Consider the following 24,685-nt stretch of genomic DNA (forward strand, 5'->3'; position numbering starts at 1 on the left):
TGTTCAGAGAATGGAGGAAGGCAAAAAAATCCAAAAAATATATCATGTTCTATTTGTATAAGGCTTTACATTGGATAAAAGAACACTATTGATATCTGAATAGAACTGTTATGACTTATTTGTTGTTCTTGTCATTGTTTTACTTCTTTAAGGTTGGGGCAATGCCTGAGCACACTGGTTTACACCTGTGATTTCAGCACTTTGGGAGGCCAAGTTAGGAGGATTGCTTGAGCCCAGAAGTTCAAGACCAGCCTGGACAACACAGCAAGGCCCCATCTCTACAAAAATAAAATAAATTAGCTTGGCATGATGTCACATGCCTATGGTACCAGCTACTGAAAAGGCTGAGGTGGGAGTAATGCTTGAGCCTGGGAGGTCAAGGTTGTAGTGAGCCATACTTTCATTACTGTACTTCAGCCCGGGTGACAGAGCAAGACCTTGTCTCAAAAAGTAAAAAAGGTGGGGGAACAAAAATAAAAATTTCTGTACAGCAATGTAGCAAAGTTCCAGTATACCTTATATAATGTTAGTCACCTTTGTGTGAGATTCTCCTCTATTCAGAGATGTGAGTAAATAGATGCATATTAAGTACAATTGTACAGTATAAAGATCCCAGCAATTACATTTTTTTTTTTTTTGAGACAGAGCCTTGCTTGGTCGCTCAGGCTGGAGTGCAGTGGTGCAATCTCAGCTCCGCCTCCCAGGTTCAAGCGATTCTCCTGCTTCAGCCTCCCCAGTACCTAGGTCTATAGGCGCGTGCCACCACGCCCAGCTAATTTTTGTATTTTTAGTAGAGATGGAGTTTCACCATGTTGGCCAGGCTGGTCACAAACTCCTGACCTCAAGTGACCCACCTGCCTCAGCCTCCCAAAGTGCTGGGATTACAGGCGTAAGCCACTTCACCCAGCCAACATTTTAAAAAATGCCCTCTAAATCATAAAAATGTCCAACACTAATTTAAATTTTTCCCCTTGAATCAGTCAGAATTTCTCCTGTATAGGGATGCATTCTGACCGTAGCACACATTGGGAAAGTTTCCATTTCTACACAGTGGTGGTGCTTATACGCTCCTCAGGGAATGTAATCATACTGCTGAATTAATTGAGCTTTAAAAGACTTTGTCAGTAAGGAATTTGATAAGGGGGAAGAAAATTAAACAGGGTCCTAATATTGGCCCACTGGAGGAGAACTGAAATAATTACCGTGCAGTTTCCAATTCCATAATATCATGCCAGAGTGGCTGAACAAGCTCACAGAACTATCATTCCCTAGCTCAGGTTATGGTCTTAGTAAATCTCCTGAGTGTAACGTCTTGACCAAAACAGACACCAGTGGCTATGAAAAAGCCTTCACAATGAAGTCACAGGGATAAAATAAAAGCGACAGTCCAAGTTGAAATGCCACACAAGTCGGGCTTTCATTTAAGGACAATGCTTTCCTGCCCCTGTGCAGAGCCTGGTGTGCATTAGAGATGGATGGCTGATTTCCTAGTTAACCTGTAGCAGGTGGCACAACTGTATAACTGGGCCCTCTAGCCATAATCATTTTATTTTTCTGGTGCCTGTCCTTTCCCATTTCCCCATCCCTAACTCCTCTGATAGTTCAGTAACTTCATCTTCCTTGTTGGTGCTTGGAGTCATGACTGGACCATATTTCTGGTGTATTTTATAGCATCTTGAATATCCTGGAATAAAGTTTCTAAATAATGCTAATAATGAAGTCTCTTGCTGCCTAGAAGTCTTGGAGCTAGGAGCTTGGCTGCAAAACTCAAAGTAAAATTCAGAAAATGGTGTTGTCTTGGACTGAATTTAACAGAAACAATTCCTGCTTATGACTGTAGACTAGACTGTTAACTGGGCCTTGACATGGGATTGGCTTAGCCCCTTTATATTGGATTAAAATTGTATTTTTATATATACACACACCCCTGTGTGTATGTGGGATTGTGTGTGTGTGTGTGTGTGTATATATATATATATATATATATGTATGTATGTATCTCTCTCTATATATATACATACATATTCTTACATGTATGTATATTTTTTCCTGGGATTTGTCTTAAAACATTCTAGCAAAGCAAGAAACTGAAAGTTGACATTTTCCCCCTGAAATATGCTCTAATCACCAGTGACAGATTTAAAAATAAATGGCTGAGCTATTTAACTTGGCAAGATTACACACTCAAGAGCAGGTTTCATAAATATTTAACTTATCATTTCCATATTTTATACATGGCAAGCATTCACAGAGGCAGTGAGATCTGTGTGGAGAGAGAAAAGACTGCATTCAGATAGACCTGAGTTTGAATCCCCATTCAATACCATCCTCACTAGAAGACTGTCAGCAGGTATTTTCATCTTTCTCAGCCTTGTTTTCTGGTAAAATGGGCAACAAATTCACAAACCACAAGGTTATTTTGAAGGTTAAATAAAATATCAAACAAATACCATTGATGACAAGTACCTGACACATGAGAGTTGCTTGGGAAAGTAAGTTATCTTCTCTTTTACCAATATTCAAGATACTGTGGAGTTGCTTGGCACTGGCAGTATGAGTACATTCTGCCAACTTACGTGGCAAGTTGATTAATGGATATGACCATTATAACCTGGTCTTAGAGAGGGTTCAGCTAACCGTTAAAGATGCCCAGTTTCACTGTGCCTGAAGCCTCCCCTCCCACTTTCTTGGCCCTAAGGAAAAGTCCTGATATCCATCGGTTATTTATTTTCAACTCCTGGGATTCCTTCCCATGATTACAGTAGTTTGATCTCTCAATGTGACAAGAAAAGCTGAATTATTGAAGAAAAATCTCCCAGTCCTTCAAGTGTAATTTTTTTAGATTAAAAGGAGCAACCGCATTTAGAATGCTTATGCTAAAATGTATTCATTGTTTAGTTGGAATTCAAATGAACTGGGTGTCCTGTAATTTGTCTAGTAATCCTACCTGTTCTAGGTTTCTGAAATCACTGCTTTAAGGCAGGCCCAATGCCTTTAAACCAATCACTGGGCCCCAGTAAGCCTTTTATCTGGTAGGTAAGCTGAATAGGGGTGGAGTGTGTGTGTGTGTGTGTGTGTGTGTGTGTGTGTGTGTATGTGTGTGTGTTCCTATTACAAGTAATAAATGAAAAAGTCATCTCCATTTTCTCAAAGCAGCATCAACTTTAGAATGAGAAAGTTGCATAATTGAGATGAGAACCTACCACTGTCTTTCTGACCTAGGTTATATACATTTAGCATTGTACATACGTGTGCACCCTTCTGCAGTATACATCTAGACTGGCAATTGACGGAGATATGCTCCAAGAGAGCAAAGCAGTTTCTCCTTAAGCCTACTTCTAGTCTGGCCTGCTAACTACCTATTAATGTTTTTCTGAAATTTAAAATTAAATGACACTAGAGTGAAATAAGCAACCAGCGATTATAGGGAATAAAAGGTACTCTGAACACATGGGAGTGATGATAGAGTCTATGCATCCCAGGCACAACCACTGATCTTCCACTATGCATGAATAAACCTTTTAAGACTCTCAGCTACTTTAAAATATTTTGCCTTTCCCAACCTTAAAATATTTTTTCAGATGATCCCTAGGAAAAAACAGTGTCTGGAACCACAAGCCATTATGAAATCCTTATTAAGTACACATGTAGGAAAGGAAAGTCATCAATGCATTTCTTGGCTAACACAAATGTAGATCAGAAAGACTTGGAGTAAAATCTCTGCAACTTTACACAAAGTGAAGAATACCATAATTTGTATCAATATCCATGCTATTCACGTGACTGCCCTTTCACCACTTGAGAATCGTGTAAAAATTTGCTCAGCTGGAAAAGAACATGACTTCTGAAGAATTTTAGAGATGACCAAATGAAAACAAAAATTTCTCAAATTACTGTCTTATGATAGTGAGAATGAAAAAAAAAAGCACAGATAGGAACTAGAGCCAAAGATGGATTAGAACAGAAAAATAAAAGATGTTTGAAAATGAAAATAGAAAAATTTCCAGTTTCTGATTCAACATGTAAGAAGATCAGAAGTTGTCATTCCCATACTTATGACATGTAAAAGTTGGACAAACTAAAACTCAGGGACTTTTCTTGGACTCACCAGACACCTGAGTTTGTGAAAATGAATTCTGAAAAACTAGAGGCTGAAGGAACTGTACGTAAGTACTGTACTCTAGTTGATAAAGTACTGTACTCTAGTTGATAAAGTACTTATTTTCCATGGAGATATGGGTTAACAGTTCTGAAATCATATCATATATAGTATAATTGAATGTTTTAAGAAACTGATGGTAGTTGGTGGAAGCCAGATTTGTTGAAGTGAGAGTTTAGAGATGAGTAAGGGGAGGAGACTAGAATGATCCATGTGGTAATTAATGGAGTAGAGTTGGATACAACAGCATGAACTCCTATTTAGATCGACATATATATCAATGTTTACATATGGAAACATTTATAGATATGCATATATACATGGAATAGCATATTCACATGCAGATCTTTGCCCTGTCAGTTGAGAGAGCCTAGAAGCAACGACACCCCAGTATCTATGAGCACACCTGTAACTCAGATCTTGGTTTCTAAAACTATTTTCCAATTTTTACTGGAGCCAGGGTCCCTTGAAAAAATAAGTGGCTTATTCTAGGACTACAGCAGGGAATATACAAGATGAGCTGGAGCAGCTTGCCAGGAAATATAAAAAATGCTAAAAAAATGACAATGATATGGGCATGTCATAATATTCAGAAGCCAACTGGAAGAGTTCCCAATTTTCAAAGCTGGAACAATTTGAGCAACAAAATAAAGTTAGATTGGACTGTAACCCAGTGTATTAAATGGAAATCCATGTGCATATGTTGGTATAAAAAATGATTCCATAAGTAAATAAACGGGAAAAATAGACAAATCTCTCATGCAGAAAAATTTCAAATAATTTATTTTGCTACTCCATCTACATAAATAATTGAGATGAAACGTAACTTCTTACTCCTTAAATGTAGGCTACACATAGTGACTTTTCTTCCAGAGAGCAGTGTATGGAAACAGAAAAAAAAAAAGTAACATTACAATTGAGAAACCTGACAAGCACATGTCAAGTAAGGTGATCAAGGTTAATATCAACAGTGATAAGTCATATTGATATGCTATTATAATAGCACTCTATTTCTCTGGTTTTCTCTCAGAAATAAATTACCCTAGTCTAGTCATGAGAAAATCATCAGCCAAGTCCCGATTGAGGAACATTCTACAAAATACCCAACCAGTAATTCTCAAAAGTGTCAAGGTGATTAAAAACAAGAAATGTCTGACAAACTGTCATAAACAAGGAGAGCCTGAGGAAACTATTAAATGTGATGTGGCATTCCAGATGAGGGATTTGAATAGAAAAACAGCATTGTTTAAAAACTGAGGAAATCTGAATGAAGTATAGACTTTAGTTAATATTGCTTCAGTGTTGATTCATTCATTGTGACGAACGTACTGTACTAATGTAAGATGTTGATAGGTGAAACTTGGTATGGAATATAAGTGAAATTTCTCTACTATCTTCACAATAATTCTGTGAGCCTAAAACTATTCTAAAATAAAATATTTAAACACTACAAATAGAATAAAGAGAAAACATGTAAACCATTATTTATTTCATCAGTTTACTTGTTTTGAAAATAATTCTGTGCTTCTTCTATTTCCTGAATTTTATAAGAAATAAATATGTGAGAAAATTCAACAACCAGTACTCAACCAAGTCAGGTGTGAAGATACTCACTTTTCATCTTCTTTGCATCCCAACATAATTATTTCAGCTTTAGAGAATGTGGTTTTGTTGAGGCAAAAGTATATTTTGAATGCTGATGATGTAGGTTTGTGTGGAATTCCTATTAAGGAATGATCAAATGATCTGGAAAGTAGCAACTGTTTTTGAGATTCTTATTTAAAGATTTAAATAATTTCATGGACATTAAAGTATTTTGTAAACTATATAGATTTCAGTATAAATATAAATCATTGTTATCGTGTATGAACTCATTAATTTATTTTTTCATTAAAAGATAAGCTTTTATACATTGTCTTCTCCACCCCCACCACCCGCCACCTCTCTATATATATAGAGACTGGGGGGAAGAGAACCGGAAGAGGATGTATAATATTCTATATATATATATGTACATATTTTTTAACCAAGCCCTATGCACTGAACAGAACTACAATTTCAGTTTTGAAACTGTCTTTCTGAACTATTTTACTCCTCATCGGGCAGCCCCGTGGAGGTTTTACTGTTTAAGTTTTACTTCCTATTTCTCCTGAGAGTATAGAATGGCATTGAAATGGCAGAGCCATTCAAACCATCTGAATTGATCCAATATTTCAATTCTTCCAACTTTTTTGGTGCCTTTTAGGATAAGGCTATTTCTTTACCTATGTCTGTCTTTCAGGAGCAGGTTCTTGCATCAGATCAATTTTGTGAACTGGTTTGTTTCACCTGTGAATGAGTTACAGGTCCTGTATATCATGGTCCTTCTAGGACCCACCCTCATCTTGATAAACAGACGCTGGAGGTTTAGATGCACCTGTGGATGATAGAGGACACTCAACTTTGCAAATGGAATGTGTTGTCTGGAGGATGCCATCATAGAAACATGTGGTTCCACTTAGTATTTAGTGTTTTGAACAGATATTGAGGAGCAGGAGACCCTGAAAGGTCTCCATAGTGAGAGTGTGCCAACCAGAGGGCATGTTACTTCTTTTTTACATTCAGTTGTCTCACTAGCACCTCAAACTCAACATAGCCAAGTTGAAATTATCATCCTCCTTCCATATTGTCCCATCCCCCTATTCCTGATGAATGACATCACCATCCATCCATTGACCAAATTGCAATCGTATGAGTCATCTTTGACACCTCCTCCTCTCTCTCATCTGACTTGCAATCCCCAAATCCAGTTGATTCCAATGTTCCTAAACATCTCTCAGAGTATTCAATGCCATTTGACTCGGCAGGGAAATGTGATAAACAATAAAGCTACTGTAACAGCTTACTAATATTGACCAAAGGTCATCCCCTTCCAATCCATTCTCCACAGAACAAAGCCATTCTAAAATACAAAGATGATCATGCCACTTCCTGCAATCTCCCAGCCATGCCCATTGTATGACTCCTATGCTGAATGACTTTAAGTTTCTTTAATATTACATGCTCTCTTTCCCACTGTGGGTTCTACAGATGCTGTTTGCTGTGTCTGAAACATCCTACTGTTCCTCTCTCCACTTACCAACTAAGCTTTCATCTTTCATCCTCCACCTAATCTCTACTCTCCTTTCAGGATCATCAGAGGTATTACCTCTTACAAATATCTTTCCCTGCCTTCCAAATCCTGTCTCCAAAGCCTGGATTATGTACTTATTATAGGTTCCCACATTGCACTCAGTACATTGTCTCCACCCTCTACTAGCTTGGAAAAATCTGCGAGAGCAAGAAGTATGTCTGTTCATGTTAGAGTTACCTCTAATGCCTGACTTGATACCTGACAACATAGTGTTGCTCAATCAATAATTGTAAATACCTGAATTATTAATGCATGAATAAATAAATGATTTGGTAAATATACAAATGTATGTATTAAAAACAGGAGAGAAAGAAATGGAAATATTTGTATAACCAGAACATCAGGCAATTAGCATTAGGAAAGCTTTTTTTTTCTTGTTTAAGTAGGTTAAAACAGGCCTTAAAAGACAAAAAATCGTGGAACATTAAGATCTCTCTCCTTTCCCCCCTCCTCCTTCTACCTGTGTGTGTGTGTGCACGCATATGTGCACTTGTTAAAGGTAGAGAGAGGGCCGGGCACAGAGGTCAGGTGGGCGGGTTGCTTGAGGTTAGGAGTTCAAGACCAGCCTGGCCAACATGGTGAAACCCCATCTCTACTAAAAAATACAAAAATTAGCTGGGCATGGTGGCAGGCACCTGTCATCCCAGCTACTCAGGAGGCTGAGACACGAGAATTGCTTGAAGCCAGGAGGCAGTGAGCCGAGATCATGCCAGTGTACTCCAGCCTGGGCAACATAGCGAGACTGTCTCAAAAAAAAAAAAAAAAAAAAAAAGGTAGAAAGAGATGGTGAGAGAAAATTGTTGGCAAGATTCCAGTTTCTTTCCACTAGAAGGCAGAAAGCACTAAACAAATGTCAAGGCAGGGACCTAGGTTTCCAGAACCCAAAAGGAGCATTGGGAGTTTGTCACTGAGACCTCAGAGGCAGAGCCCAAGACCAGAACCGAACTATTACTATGCGGACTTGATGTTCAATGAATCAATCGCCTAAGTATCCCTAAATGCTCCACTACCCTGTGCCTCTCTACAAACCCCATTATAATTCATTCCCAAGCCATGATCAGAATTGGCTCATCAGTTTGTGCGGTGGTAATGAGGAAGGGGTAGGAAGTTGGGATTCAGTGGGTCTACCATAAGGCAGAAGAGGAAGCAAATCAGACACATTCCAATGATATTATCTGTTTGGTTTTGCCCATATCTGATTTTCGAAGTCTTCTATGTACTGAAATCAAATATCTCACATTAAAAAAAAAAAAAAGCTTTTAAAGATTGTAGGTTGACACAGCATAGAATATCCCTTCCTTCTTCTAGACCAGTAGCATTCAAAGCTACCTGGTAGTGTAATTAAGATTTTACATATTTCAAGCTTCTTCACTGTAACTCACAGCAGCTTGGAAGGTAGGAGTAAGCTTCATGACAATGATCCTCTGCATTTTGATGGGTACAAGCTGTTCTTTGATATCATGGACACCCCAGCTTTTCAAAAGAAGATTCTTGGCTGTTTAGCAGTTCAGCCAATCCATGTAATTGCTTTTTCCATGTTACATAAGAGTAAAAGTCTCCTATAATTATAGGGATAAAAGAGACTTGATACTTTCCAGATCACCAGAGCAGGAAGAAAGAAGAAAAGCATGACTTTTTGGAGTGATTACTCATCACATGCCAGACACAATGCTGAAAACTTTGTATCCATCATATTTTTATGCCACGAAAACCCTGTACAGAAGACATAAGCACCCCCATTTTACAGATGAGGGCCCTGAGACTAGGGGAAGACAAAGAATTCCTCAAAGTTAGTTTACTTAGTACAAATTAGAATTGGTCTTTAAACTGACTCCAAGGAGGATGGCCTTTTTTACTCTACCACATCCCCTCTCCAACACTATTGGTTTGATTTTCTGTTACAGAAGTACAGGAAGACAGTGTTTCTTTTCTAGCTATGCAACAATGACATGTGGTGGTTGAAAGCATGGCCTCTGGAGCCAGACTGCCTGTGACCATTTACTTTTTCTTGAACTTGAACTTATACTTTAGTTTCTCTGTGCCCTAATCTTCTCAAGTGCAACTGGGGTTAATAATGGTCCCAGCACTGTTGAAAGGACTAAATGACTTTGCACCTATAAAGAGCTTTGTATTTTAAGTGCTCCATAAATATTCATGTTGTAGTTGTCATTGCTATTGTTGTTGTCTGTGAGGCCTTTTCACAGAGGCATGGCCTCGCAGAATAGGGACAAGCATGCTTTAATGCTACTCCTGTCTTCTTAATTCCCAGTAGCAGAAAAACTGGAAGACTCCTTTGCCAAGGGTTATTATTTTTTAATCAATCTACGTAGGGTTTATACATAGATGATGACAGAGAGAGGTAGGTACAGTTATTTATAGCCTGTGAGTCATTATGAAAAGTCACTCTTTCTTTGCTTGGTCAGAGCAGTGAGAATACATATATCTGCAACTCCATGTGTGTAGAACTAGCAGCTTAAACTGGAAAGATGACCTATTGCCTTAGTCTTTCCCAGAGAGAGGCTTGCCCTACACCCCCTTTTGCAGCCTGCCCAGGCTAATGCAACTAGCGATGGCAAGGCAAGCAGGGCAGGCTGCCATGCATTTTAGGGGATTTGAGCAGTCAGGCAGATCATTCAGGGAGAGATTGTTTTAAAGGTTTAGCTAAAAGCCATTTATCCACCTCATTTCAAGCACAGTATTGGCTCCAAAGTACAGTTGGTCCTCCATATCCATGGGTTCTGCATCCATGGATTCAACCAACTATGGATAGAAAATATTTGGAAAAGAAAACTCCACCAAGTTCCAAAAAACGAAACTTGAATTTGCCATATGCCAAATATATCAAATCCACGCTAATGAAGTGATGTGTAGGCATTGTATTAGGTATTATAAGTAATTCAGGAATGATTGAAAGTATATAGGAGGATATGTGTAGGCTATAGGCAAATAACACACCTTGTTGTATAAGAGACTTTAGTAGCCTTCAAGTTTGGTATCTACAGGGGATCCTGGAATCAATCCCCAAGCATATCCAGGGACAACTGTGCTATATTGTGATGAAGTTCCACCACTTAGCTTTATAGCTGAGGACTACAAGCTCCAATTATCTTAGGGAATATTCTGGTGACCAAATAAATAAAAACTTTCTAAAAAGTGATAGTCACTTGAGCATCCAAGAAGTATCTATCACATCCTTAAGTCATTCCATTTTCCTTTATATCTCTCTGGGTGAGCCATCTTGTCCTGAATACAATTTGTAATGCCGGGTAATTACTTCCTGACAGAAATTTCTTCCCATTTCATTCTCTGTGTGTTAAGCTCATTTGATTACAACAAACAAAACAAAATTCAGGGACATTGATTAATGCAATAAGAGCAAAATAAGTAATTAAAATTAACAAGTTTCTAACTTTGAGGCCTGGCCTCTCTCACAGAGTCTGTGGCAATATTAAAGTGTGATTCTAGCAGAATAAAAACAGTTCTTGTCTCCTGAAATGTGAATAATCCTCAGTAGATCTGCCTTTGGATTGGACATCCATTGAACATGTCTCAACTGCACTGTGTCTCTTTGTCTTTATTTTCTTTATCTTTGGGTCATTCCCCCAATTCTAACTGACCTTTGTTATCCTTCTGGTCTCCAGTTTAGTTTTCTGGGAAGGGCTCTCCCTGGCTCAGTTCCTCAGCACCATCACTACTTGAGCAGAGCTTTTCCACCTGAAGTGCTCAAAGGACTGCCCATCTGTCCTTGCTCAGGGACCCCCAACACGGACTGCAAGGCTTTAGAAGTTGAATCCCCAGCACAGAGCTCTAATCATAGGTGCCGCAGAGGCCTTGTCTCCTTGCTGGTGCTGAAGGGTGGTGGCTTCCATAGCCTGACAGTCTCTTTATTTACCCAGCACAATAAAGGAACTAACATTATTCTTGTGGCAATTCAAAAAAATACTTAAAAATTAGTTTGAGACATTATTTAAATTTTTATTATACATCCCCTGACAAAATAATTTTTATTTATGGAATGTATTTTTTTATTTTACTTTAAGTTCTGGGATACATGTGTAGAACATGCAGGTTTGTTACATAGGTATACACGGGCTATGGTGGTTTGCTGCACCTATCAACCTGTCATCATTATTTCTCCTAATGCTATCCCTCCCCTGGCCCCCACCCCCTGACAGGCCCTGGTGTGTGATGTTCCCCTTCCTGTGTCCATGTGTTCTCATTGTTCAACTCCCACTTATGAGTGAGAGCATGTGCTGTTTGGTTTTCTGTTCCTGTATTAGTTTGCTGAGAATGATGGTTTCCAGCTTCATCCATGTCCCTGCAAAGGACATGAACTCATCCTTTCATATGGCTGCATAGTATTCCACAGTGTATATGTGCCACATTTTCTTTATGCAGTCTATCATTGATGAGCATTTGGGTTTGTTCCAAGTCTTTGCTATTGTGAACAGTGCTGCAATAAACATACGTGTGCGTGTGTCTTTATAGTAGAGTGATTTATAATCCTTTGGCTATATACCCAGTACTGGGATGGTTGGGTCAAATGGTATTTCTGTTTCTAGATCCTTGAGGAATCACCACACTGTCATCCACAATGGTTGAACTAATTTATACTCCCACCAACAGTGTAAAAGCATTCCTGTGTCTCCATATCCTCTCCAGCATCTGTTGTTTCCTAACTTTTTAATGATTGCCATTCTAACTGGTATGAGATTGTATCTCATTGCAGTTTTGATTTGCATTTCTCTAATGACCAGTGATGATGAGCTTTTTTTCATATGTTTGCTGGCTATATAAATGTCTTCTGTTGAGGAGTGTCTGTTCATATCCTTTGCCTACTTTTTGATGGGTTTTTTTTTCTTGTAAATTTGTTTAAGTTATTTGTAGATTCTGCATATTAGTGCTTTGTCAGATGGATAGATTGCAAAAATTTTTTCCCATTCTATAGGTTGCCTGTTCACTCTGATGATAGTTTATTTTGCTGTGCAGAAGCTCTTTAGTTTAGTTAGATCCCATTTGTCAATTTTGGCTTTTGCTGCCATTGCTTTTGGTGTTTTAGTCATGAAGTCTTTGCCCATGCCTATGTCCTGGATGGTATTGCCTAGGTTTTCTTCTAGGGTTTTTATAGTTTTAGGTCTTAAGTTTAAGTCTTTAATCCATCTTGAGTTAATTTTTGTATAAGGTGTAATGAAGGGGTCCAGTTTCAGTTTTTCTGCATATGGCTAGCCAGTTCTCCCAACACCATTTATTTTTATCTATTTCAGGGATCAGCAGGTTTTTTTTTTTTTAAAAGTAAATCTCAAACTTGTTCAAAGAGTAAATATCTAGGCTTTGTTGACTTTTACTCAAGTCTGCTATTGTAGTACAAAAGCAACCATAGACAATACAAACAAATAGATGTGGCTGTACTCCAATAAAACTTTATTTACAAAAGCAGCTGTGTTTGGCCCCTGGGCTGTAATCTGTGGAGCCTGATCTTTCCCAGTGCATGTGTACCCATGCTGTGCTCACACCCCCTCACACTCCATACCCATTTTGTACATCTGTGTTCCTTTGTTGCCTATATTGCATAGCTCACTAATCTGAGAAGGCTGGATTTCACCGAATTGCATGGGAGTCCCACTGTTGTCAAGACACTCATGGTCTGTTAAGTGGAGGAAAAACATGAACTATCTATAGGAGAACCAATGTCTCAGAATCATCAACAAATGCATGCATTTGGGAGAAATTTCTAGTATTCTAAAATGGATCGTTTTATCCTAGAAATGGTGAGAATGGCACTCTCATCACACAAAGCACACATATCTGCTTAGGTACAGACATTTGCTGAATCCGAATTATAATGTCCTCTTCTGCCAACCCTGTAAGATGCTCACATGCTAATGGTAGGGGTGGAGGAATGGTATGAAACATGAAATATCTTCTGCTTTGACAACTGTCTTAACTCTGTTGTTCTCTCCTAAAATGAAGTTGTGCTTTGAGCCACTCTATCTAAAACTAGGCTGTCATTTCTATGTCCTAAGGGATGCAAGTACCGTTTTACCTTTCAGAAAGCAAATTTTAAAACAATCCCCAGGTATAAGATTTATCTTTCCGAGCAGAGGATCTGCAAACAGTGCCTGCGGACGTGTTTACTGGTTAAATTTTATTCCAACTATGAGCTACTAAGTCTTCCAGCAATTGTTCTTTCTTAACAAGTTTGTCTTCCTTGGTGACTGATGGTTTCTACTTGTTCACTTGATCAGTGTAGCATTTGATTCCAACAGAAATGTGCAGTGGCTCACCCCTGTAATCCCAGCACTTTGGGAGGCCGAGGCAAGAGGATCACTTGAGGTCAGGAGTTCAATACCAGCCAATGTGGTGAAACCCCATGTCTACTAAAAATACAAAAATTAGCCAGGCATGGTGGTTGGCACCTGTAATCACAGCTATGGTGGCTGAGGCAGGAGAATTGCTTGAAGGTGGGAGGCAGAGGTTGCAGTGAGCCGAGATTGTGCCACTGCACTCCAGCCTGGGAGACAGACCGAGACTCCATCTCAAAAAAAAAAAAAAAGGAAAAAGAAAAAAAATGAATCTTTATAATATACAACACAAAGAGGGATTTTGATGGGCTTTTAGTTCTCGCAGACCCCCCTGCTGGGTTGCCTAAACTTGTAGTGGCAATAGAGCATCCAGAATATCTGCCCATTTCTTCCTTAGGTACATGAGCTTCCCTGTGGCTTTAGATCGTTCATAATTGTTGGGTTCATCCAGGAGTGTCACTTTGTGAACTTTTTCTCAAGGTAATAACATGTGTGAGTAGCACGAGGCATTAAAAGAAAGAAGAGAGATGGGAGTGTCCTTTAGATGTCCTCAGTACTGTTGTTAGAACCTGCACACCAGTTTTTTATTCACAGTTTCCCCTTGTGTGGCAATTTATTTGCAGTGTAGCTGGTAATATTTGTGACATAGAATATGTTATGCTATGACGTACCTACTATGGTTAGCATAGTGGTGGAATTTAAGAAGGGATATTTAATTAATAGAATTTATAAACAGGACTATCTGTCTTCAGAGACACTTCAGGGATAACGATAAACTTCAGAGATACTGAGAATTGCAAGGGGATCTCAGTCTAATGACTTTTGAGTGCCTTTTCGGATGTGAACAAACCCAGCAATAGGGTGGATAATATGCCTTAACTGGGTCCCCAAGATACTTGATTGTGTATATTGTCTGGATGTTCAGGAACACATGGTCTTAATTTCTTAGATGTCTCTATTGTGTGTGCCAGTTTAGAGTTCAGTCTGGGTGCATTTATGTTATATAGTTTTTTCCATATTTTCTTTTAGGGTATAGGAACAAAACAGTCAGCAAAACTGCCAAGGTGCTTGCAGATCAAAGTGAAGATAAAAAATGAGTGGAGTGATTGCAACACAAGGTGACACTTGATCCAATGGAGGTTACTTTCACTGGCTTTCCTAGAAGCTCATACTGGGAACCCCATCTATGGGACTCGTGGTGGGTGGTGGGGGATGACAGAAAACTTCCTCTTCATGAAAATCTTAGGTCTAAATGACATGCTTATAGTTTGGTGGATGGATTGAGAGAAGCAGGGAGGCCTTTCCAGGCAGAAGGAACAAAATGTACTGTCATTTGGAAGTGACAGCAGGATGCACTGACAGGAGCCTGGAGCAGAGTATAGGAGGCGATGGCAAAAAGAAAGACTCACAGGTTAAGACAGGCCCAGGGCATGAAGGACAAGCAGCCACTGCACACATCCCCTCCACTAACTGCTTTGTTCTGCTCCCTCTTGCAGTACCAATACTATCCAATTTTTGTCTATACTAGAAATTTGGGAGCCATGCCCGATCCAATTTCCTTCATATCACCCATTTACTCCATCAGCAGGAATAGAAAGCTTACCAACTTTATTTACATATTCATCCATCCTTTATTGATAAAATAAATTTATTTTTGAGATACTTTCCATCTGACTTCAAGGTTAAATAAATGTTAATGAAGGAGGTAATGAAGCAAGACATGCTTGAACTTTGGAGCCAGACACAATTTGGGTTGGAATCTTGCCTCTACCTTTCACCTTCTGAGTATATAACCTTGGGAAGCTGTCTTGGGATCTTCAGACCTCAGAAAAGAGCACAAAGAAGTTAATTATATGTTCCTCAGAGTACCTGCCACAGAATTATTAAATATTCAATAGTGGAAATTCCTATATCCTCACTTCTCCTTCTAGTTTTCATTTCTCTCCTGAAACTTCGTTCATTGCATTTTGAAACCTTCATTGACTCTTCTATTGGATTTTGAGGTCCTTGAGGGCCAAGGTTATTGTTAGGGCTTTTTTGTTTTGCTTTGTTGTTGTTTTTTAATAAAACACTTTCTGTGTTTATGTTTCTAGTTTTGCTCAGTTTTGGTTTGCACGGGAGTCTCCTGCAGTCTGCCGTCTGAGTGCAAGAGGGAGGATGAATGATATCCCTTTCAGCTTCCTCAGGTGTGGGGAAAAGATTAGGAAAAGAGCAAACATTTATGGCAATCTGGAGTTACAGCATGTGTTTGAGTCCCAGGTATTTTCCTCATACATCGTTTAGCCTCTTTGAGCTTTTGTTTCTTCATTTGTGAAATGAAGATAAAATTCTTCTACCTTATCTGGCCTATAGGATCATCCCTGGATATTTGCCTTGAACAGTTTACAGTCTTAGCTCCCACCTGCCCATGGGAAGGACCACAGGGATCTTGTGCAGCATCCCCAAATCTTCTGCAGCAGCACTCCAAGTTCCATCTCCTTCTCTCCATTCCTTCACCTGCTTTCCGACAGGTTTCATTCTGTGGCCAGTACTTTGTTTTCCTCTCTATGGCGGCTGTTTGAAATTTAGGATTCCGTAGGACAGCCTTCTTACTTTGCAATTCTGACCTCACCGCTACACACCATAGTTCACATTACCCTCACCTTCATTAATGTCTCTAACAGCAACAATACAAATTGAGTAAATTCAATTTAGGGTGATTGAGATGTCACCTGTTTTTATTCTTTCCATAAATTCAAGCAAGATATGTTAACAATTGTTCGGATGTCATAATGTTATGCTAGAAGTTATTGGGCTCTTTAATTGAATGTTCTCTTAATTTGGGCATTGGTAAGGTACCAATTTGAGTATGCAGACTTGATAGCTGGGTTTGCCACCACCCTGAGCTAGTAGTGTATGTGGATGGCATAAAGAACATGTTGGATCTTTCCACCTCTGACTGGGGCTCTCTGTGGCCAGCATCCAACTCAGCAGGATCAGATGATTCCGGAAACACTGACTGCTTCTCTCCTGCAAGCTCACAGTGGAGCGTCTGGCACTCCCTGAGATCCCTGCCCTGCATGGCTTTTTACACAAACTGAACAAATCACATTCTCTAAATGAGAGAAGTGCAGCTCTGTTACATTTCAATCTTCTAAAGAGGAGGAAGGTCACTCGTCAGAGACCTTGTGGTCATCAGCAAATAGGGTGATCCAGGATGAAGACACACAGGCAGTAAATGACGGTTTCTTCCTCCTCTCCCTTCTCCTCCTTTCCCCTTGATATCCAGTCTTATCTTCTCCCTTCCTTTCTAACTCTCCTTTTCCAATCTGTTCTTCACTCGCCTTTCTTCTCTTCTCTTCTTTCCCTTCTTCTCTCCCTCTTTATTCTTCTTCCAGAAATCTTTAAATGAGTCATGATTCAAGTGAAAAAAGATTCTTAGCTAACTCACATATGGAAGCAGCAAATTTTCTCAGATTTTGAGCTCCTTGAAAGCTGAGCAGCATAGGAGCCTTCACAACCCTGTAGTCCAGGCAGCAGTAGAGGCATTTCTCTCCAGTTCCTGGGAATCTCATCCGACAGTCAACTTGTGTTGACAGAGTGAGTAGGACTGTGGCTTTTATTTATTTATTTATTTATTTATTTGCATCTGGATCTTGGGAAGTAAGCATGTGGCATAAGCTGGGTTTCTTACATTGCCCTAAGTCATTGTCACAAGTAGAAAGAAGTATGGTTGTACCTCTGCTGCACAACCACTCAGGCAACTGTTCCTAATGTCTTCTCTGAGGCCTTCTTTGTCACTTCCCAAGTCTCAGGTATGGGCAAATTATCCTCTATCCTACCCCATTATATTTGAATTCCAATTTGCTCGTAGTTCATTAACACCTACCACACTATTTCCTATTTATTTTGTGTCCATTCGCCAGCTAGATTGCAGAAGTTGTGTAATTGTGCCTCATTCGTCTTTATAGCCAAAGTATAATCCTAGAACAGTTTCTAATGTCAGATGCATCAGGGAACCCAATAAATGTAGATGGTAACGTTATGCTAATCTTACATTTTAATTCTATTAGTGGTGAAATCTTTATGACTTAGTCCTGTGAGTTGCATTGAAAGATTGATCTAAGCACCTCTTTTGTGTTGGAAAGGAGATATATTTTCAAAATTTTTAAATATTAATACATTTTTAGCATGGCATATGATCGTTTTGAAATACTTATTTCAATATCCCATGTTCTAAAATAGAGTGTATTAACAGAAATTTTGAGATGTGGTAAGGCCAACTGATCATGAAATGATTGCCATTGAAAAGATAATGGTCTTGAGTATGGAATCCCAAAAAAGGAGGTAAATGGGGGTCTGGGCTCTGGATTGGGTTGGTTTTTATTTGAAAAGTGTGTGCTCGGGCAATTTATTTTCTATCTCTAGGAACTGGTTAGTCCTGAGAGGGGAAATTCCTTCAGGGTCAGGAAGAACCAGATATCAAAGAATCAGAAATACAAAATAAAAGATAGACTTAATGCAGCTTATGATGCCAAAAGAGATTCACTTTTCTCTAAACATGAATGGGCATGTAGAAAAAACAGCAATCTCTACAGCTGTCTGGGTACAATTGCTGTCACAAGAACTATTGCCATAATGCGGTTAGGACATAAAGTAAACTTAAATACTCTACATACTTTTTATAATTGGAGGTTGTCTACATAGACACAGTAGAGACTTGAGAAGTCCCCAGAGACCTTAAAATTCTATTCAGTTCAGCTGTAACCGTATCCTCCAATCACCTTGTGGGTCATGTATGGATTGTCTTGCTTCTGCATTTATCTTCCAGAGATTTGCTGCTTTTACTAATTATTGGAGTAGCAGACACCTCTATTGCTTCTGCCTCTCTTGAACTATGATTGTTCTTATCTCTGGGTACTAAGTCCATCATCCTTAGATCCTGTAGAGCACTGGCTGCTGAGGCACACTTATCACCAAACGCCTGTTGGTGTCACTACAGAGTAGGAACCAAATTGCTCTCACTGCTGGATGACAACTTGTTTCTCATCTAGCATCCTAACTTATCTGGTAAGGAAATGGATAACTGCAGTATATAATTATTGTGTATCAGTAATTAACTCCTCCTGCCCTCTGTTTAGGTAAAAGAGATGAGGCTTAAAAGGCGCACAATTTTTAAATGTCAAAAGTATCACTTGACTCAAATCTTTCTGAACTTAGCACTTACAAACTTTTCAGTGGACCACAATGTCCAACATTAAATGCTGGAAATCACCATACCGTGGGTTTGTAAAACAGGCCAATATTTTTTTTATGGATACTTTTAAGGTCCATCCTAGAGGCCTATTTATATAAACACTTCATGCCTTACTCTGGGAACTTATCACTAAGATTTTCTTCAAAGACCTGGTGAATCAGGATTTTCCATTCATATCTGTGAATTAAGGATACCTGGGGGTAATCTCTGTCACTGAATACATCAATATATTTGCCAGTTAGACCTCTTCTTTGCTGGAGAATGCTGACTTGCACTTTTTGTATAGGTAAGGTTTATCAACAAGATTTGTACAAGGTCAAGATTGGGAGAGCTGTTAGTCTGAGAAATGCCAAATATCAGAATGGGGAAGAACGAGATCGTCTCTAGAACTCCTAGTTACTCAGAGGCATTTTATTTCATTTCTTTCATATGATTTCTTCTTTCTTTCTTTGTTGTCTTTTCCACACACCTTACAGATGATCAGTATTCTATTTAAAATGTACTTACCACAAGTACACAAGGCTCTTTATCTCAACAGTGATTATAGTTAGGCAATAGTAGAAATAAAATAAATGTCCATATGACTTTACCATATGACAGAATATTCTGCAGCCACTTAAAAGGATGAGATAGACCTATGAGCACTAACATAAACAACGCCCATGACTTATTACAAGTTTTAGAAAACAGGTAATCTATTATTTATAATAGCAAAAAATGATAACAGTAATTCTATGTTATTATTTTTCTCTTTTTTTTTAAACGGAGTCTCGCTCTGTCACCCAGGCTGGAGTGCAGAGTGCAGTGGCGCGATCTCAGCTAACTGAAACCTCTGCCTCCTGGGTTCAAGCGATTCTCCTGTCTCAACCTCCCATGTAGCTGGGACTACAGGTGCGTGCCACCACGCCTGGATAATTTTTTTTTATTTTTAATAGAAACAATGATAAATGAGCCATAGCTACCTGCAACAACATATTGAATCTTATAACATAATACTGAGCAAAAAAAAAAAATCTAGACATATAAAGAACATATGGTATGATTCTATTTACATAAAGATCAAAAATAGATACAACTAGCTTTTGGTATTAGATGTCAGTTTAATAGTTACATGGGTAGAGAAGGTGGCTAGTAATTAGGAAGCAGTGTATACAGGGGTATGGATCATATTCCATTTCTTGGTCTGAGCATTGAGTACCTATGTGTGTTCATTTTGTAAAATTTTCTCACAGTGTAAATTTATGAATTATGCATTTTTGTTATGTATTAACCTTTAAAGTTTATTGTAAAGGGCAGGAATTTGAATTTTGAAAAAATAAAAGATTGTGATGTTTCACAACATGGACAGTAATGAAAGGATATTCTTAGGTGAAGTAAGAGATGTGGTTCAGCAAGACCATGTGCAAGTCAGATTCCAGGGGAACTAGAAACCATGAGCATGGGTGAAACTGAAGACATTATTAAGTAAAATAAGCCAGGCAAAGCAAGACAAATACCACATGATATATGGAATCTAAAAAAAGCTGTTCTCATGGAAATTGAGAATAGAATGATGGTTATGAGAGGCCATAGGGTTTAGGGGGAAGATGGGGTCGGGGAGATGTTGGTCAAATAATACATATCTGCAGTTGGATAGAAGGAATAAGTTCAAGAGACCTATTGTGCAGCAGGGCAGCTATAGTCAATGATGATATTTTGTATTGTTGAAAAATGCCCATAGAGTGTATATTCAGTCTTTTCCCCACAAAAATGATAACCATGTGAGGTAATGTGTTTGTTAATCAGCTCGATTTAACCATTCCACAATGTATATATACTTCAAAACATTGTACACAATAAACACATATAATTTCATATGTCAATTTAAAAATAAGTAAATATATTTAAAAAAATTAAAAAGACACTATGAGCAAGTAGAGGAAGACAACTGTTAAACATAGGAGTAGGTTACAAAGCAGGCAGTGGAGGGGCAGGGATAACAAAATCTCCAAGAAGAGGGGTGAGCCATGCTATTGGATTTCCATCTGTAGTTTACATATATCCTTAAGATAAATCTTTGAAAAATCAAGTTAAAATGAATTAAGTTGAATATTATCAGCACTGATATTTATAAAAGAGATTATATATTTATTATTGCTGTGACTATCATTATTATGATTCGTGGAGCATCAGTATGACTCTGTACCTGAAACTAATGAGTTTGACTACAACACTCTTTTAATTCTTCATTTTTCTTATGCACTTGAGGAATTGGAAATTGTTTTCAAATAGTTTACATGTTACCTCTCAAATTCAGTTTTTACAATGGGTTCTATGATATATTAAAATAATGGTAATAATATAGTAGAAACCAATTATATTTTATTAACACTGGAAGTGAGCCAGACACTGTGCTCAGTAAATGCATGGTACAAAGCATCTCATTTAATCTTCCAGTGACCCAGTAGGCAGATATTATGATCATCACCACATTTCACATCAAAAACTGAGTCATAGACAGGTTAAATAAAATTGCCGAAAGTCAGGTAAATAGAGCGAGACCCTGGGAACAGATCTGTGCTTTCCGACTATCAGTCTGCACTATTCAACGTGGTAGCCACAAACATGTGATGGTCATTAAAAGAAAAACTGGAGAAAAGTTAAATTTAACAGACTTTAATAGAGCAATTTGTGAAGGGGTAGCCCTCTGCACCAAATTACATTCAGAGTGACTTTGGCACTGCCGGAAGGTGTAAGAGAATTTACGGAAGCAGGGAATTTATGGGAGAAGGGAAAGTGGCCTACAGAAAACAGAAGTGAGGTACAGAAACAGCTGGTTATAGTAACTCGGCATTCATTTGAACACAGTTTGAACAGTTGACTGACTGTGATTAGCTGAAACTCAGTGATTGGTACAGGAGTAGGTTACAGTCTATTTGGGCATATTGTTAGGTTAAAATTCACTATGTACAGAGAAACCATTAGACCAAACTTAGAATCTGTAAGGAGGCAGTTTTAGGGTAAAATCAGCACAGTTGAACACTTGAAACATGGCTAGCCTGAAATGAGCTGTAAGTCTCATATACGGTAAGTCTCATATAAAAAGCCCCACTGGATTTCAAAGACTTAGCGCCAAAACAATATAAAATATTTCATTAATATTTTATAGCTATTCTGTATTGAAGTGATACTATTTTATATATGTTGGGTCAAATAAAATGTATAATTAAAGCGAATTTCTCCCTTGATTGACTGATTGATTGATTGGATTGCTTCTACGGTGCCTACTAGAAAGCTTTGGAAGCTGAAATTATACATGTGGCTTGCATTATATTTCTGTTGGATCATGCTGGTCCAGACTGGATGCTCTACTTCTAGACCTGAGGTTTTCAACTTCAGCGCTTTAGGTAGATTTGAACGTACACAGATCTAGCTTCCTAGTGCTGGAAATTCAGATCTGCTCTGGGCTGGGGTTCAGTTGTTGGTGTATTTGAGAAGCTCCCGAGGTGTTTCTAATGTATAGCCAGAGGAGAGAACCCCTGCCTGGAGTCCATATGCCTGCTCTATGCAGTCTGATATCCACCTGACTCGAGACAGCTCCTGATGGGATAGTTACAACTTAAGCCTGGGAAGTCAAATAGCCACAGGGCTCTCAGCCTGCGCACCTATGCAAAGAGCTGACTTTGCTGATTATGTTTGTAGATCTTCCAGGATCACTGCCAATACCTGTGGTAAAGGAGTTAGATTCCTTTAGCTTACACCTCATCTGTCTGAGAGAAGTGAAGCCCCATTACACCAATATGGAGAAGGTTGTGTGTTACCTTGGTCCTGAATGTTCTGTGAAGCAAAGTTAAACGGTCTTTAGTGGGTTAGAATCCCTACTCCATCTAAATAGGTCACAGCTAGAAGATTCCCTTAAACCGCTGGGTCAGATTCTCCCTGTTGTCAAGAAAATGAAATGTTATTGTTCCAAGTCACATGTCTTGCTCCTAGAATGTGACTTTGCCAATGAACAGTGAATCCTAAGTGATAAAACCTAGAATTGAGGGTAAGGAGTGGGGGACAGCTATTATAGGTTCAGGAAAAATGGAGTTAACAGATCTTTTAAAAGTGAACTCGGACACCACAGACTGGGATTATCTTAGCATTGAAAACTCACTGGTAGATATAACTTGATGCAGGTTGCTTTTTACTTATAATTTATTTGTGGAAGAAATAGCACTTGGAAAGCCAGTGCATATTAGACATATTAATGAGAAGACCCAGGGCTTTTCATTTTCTTTTCAAAATATGTCTTATAACATTCACTTATCTATAGTCAGCCAGAGATGCACTGTTTGTGAAAGGAGGGGAGGAGATAAGCGGTTATTACAGGAAAGGTTTATATTTGGTGGGGGTGCAGGGGAAGAAAGGAAAATGACAGGCTGAGAATACAGATGTTTATGAATTTAAACTGTTATTTACCCTTAAATATCAACTTTAACTGATAATGCACATCTAAAAGCATTTTGCGTAGAAATAAGATAAACTATAGAGTATCAACATTATTATAAAGTAATTATTTCAGTTTTTCCTTTGTTGTTGTTGTTGTTTGTTGTTGTTGTTATTGGTTTTTTGTTGTTGTTGTTGTTGTTTGAGACGGAGCCTCCCTCTGTCACCCAGGCTGGAGTGCAGTGGTGCAATCTGCTCACTGCAAGCTCCGCCTCCCGGGTTCACGCCTTTCTCCTGCCTCAGCCTTCCGAGTAGCTGGGACTACAGGCGCCCACCACCACGCCCTGCTAATTTTTCGTATTTTTAGTAGAGATGGGGTTTCATCGTGTTAGCCAGGATGGTCTCCATCTCCTGACCTCGTGATCCACCCGCCTCGGCCTCCCGAAGTGCTGAGATTACGGGTGTGAGCCACGGCGCCCCACCTTTCAATGTTTTTTTAAGTGTAGTATTATGCAGTTGACTGCAAAGAGCAAGAAAATGAATCCCTAGGGTAAATGTAACTTTCTACCTCCTCCCCCACCTCAAGAAATTGCTGCCTCTTTTTATTGCCCCACCAAGCAGAAGACCACTGGTAAATGTCCTTAGACATCCAGCTCAGAAGCTATTGAGTTCACCAGAGGCTTTTGTAGTGAGGCCCTAGTGCACAGCCAGCATTAGCCACATACAACTATCCAGAAATAAAGATCATATCCTTGTCCTTGAGGGGCTTTTGAGAAATGGGTATGTGCATTTTTGGTACAAGACCATGCAGTTATGGAAAAGGTGCAAAAGGAATGCAGAAGGGAAGCTTGGGAAGAATTTTCAGGCTTAATAGTATTTATTCTGAGCTTTTAGGGATCGGTGGGCAGATTAACTTGCTAGGGCTGCTGTAACAAAGCACCACAAACTGGTGGCTCACACAATTCTTTTGTTTTCCAGTTCTTATCGAGGTATTAGCAGACTTGGTTTCTTCTGAGGGCTGTGAAGGGGTAACTCTTTCTTGCCTCTTTCTTAGCTTCTGGTAATTGGCTGTCACTCTTTGATGTTCCTAAGCTTGTAGAATCATTGCCCTAATCTCTGACTTCATCTTTAGATGATGTTCTCCCTATGTGTGTATGTGTCTATCTCTGTGTCCAAATTTCTCCTTTTACTAAGGACACAGTAATATTGGATTAGGATCCATTTTCATGACCTCATCTTAACTTGATCCTCTTCAAAGACCCTTTCTTAGTCCATCTGGGCTGCATAACAAAGTACCCTACACTGCATAGCTTATAAACAACAGGCATTTATTTGTCAGTTCTGGAGGCTGGGAAGACCAGGGTCAAGATGCCAGTAAATTGGGTGTTTGGTGAAAGCTCAGTCTC

The 24,685-nt window shown here is 38.9% G+C and overlaps 1 protein-coding gene across 26 annotated transcripts in view; it reads left to right on the forward strand.

Moving 5' to 3' along the window:
* Positions 1 to 24,685, forward strand: part of NRG3 (neuregulin 3) — a 1,111,986-nt gene that overhangs the window by 1,040,813 nt on the left and 46,488 nt on the right. The window contains exon 1 of one of the 26 annotated variants that reach the window (XM_011539178.3): positions 14,482 to 14,751. The exons of 24 other annotated variants lie outside the window; for them this stretch is intronic. In XM_011539178.3, coding sequence (XP_011537480.1) covers positions 14,727 to 14,751 — 25 coding nt within the window. In that variant the 5' untranslated portion in view covers positions 14,482 to 14,726. Of the gene's footprint in view, positions 1 to 14,481; positions 14,752 to 24,685 lie in introns of those variants that run through there. One more of the 26 variants, XM_047424513.1, reaches the window with a different exon arrangement.

The sequence above is a fragment of the Homo sapiens genome, chromosome 10 (assembly GCF_000001405.40).
Source record: "Homo sapiens chromosome 10, GRCh38.p14 Primary Assembly".
In the NCBI taxonomy this organism is placed as follows: Eukaryota; Metazoa; Chordata; class Mammalia; order Primates; family Hominidae; genus Homo; species Homo sapiens.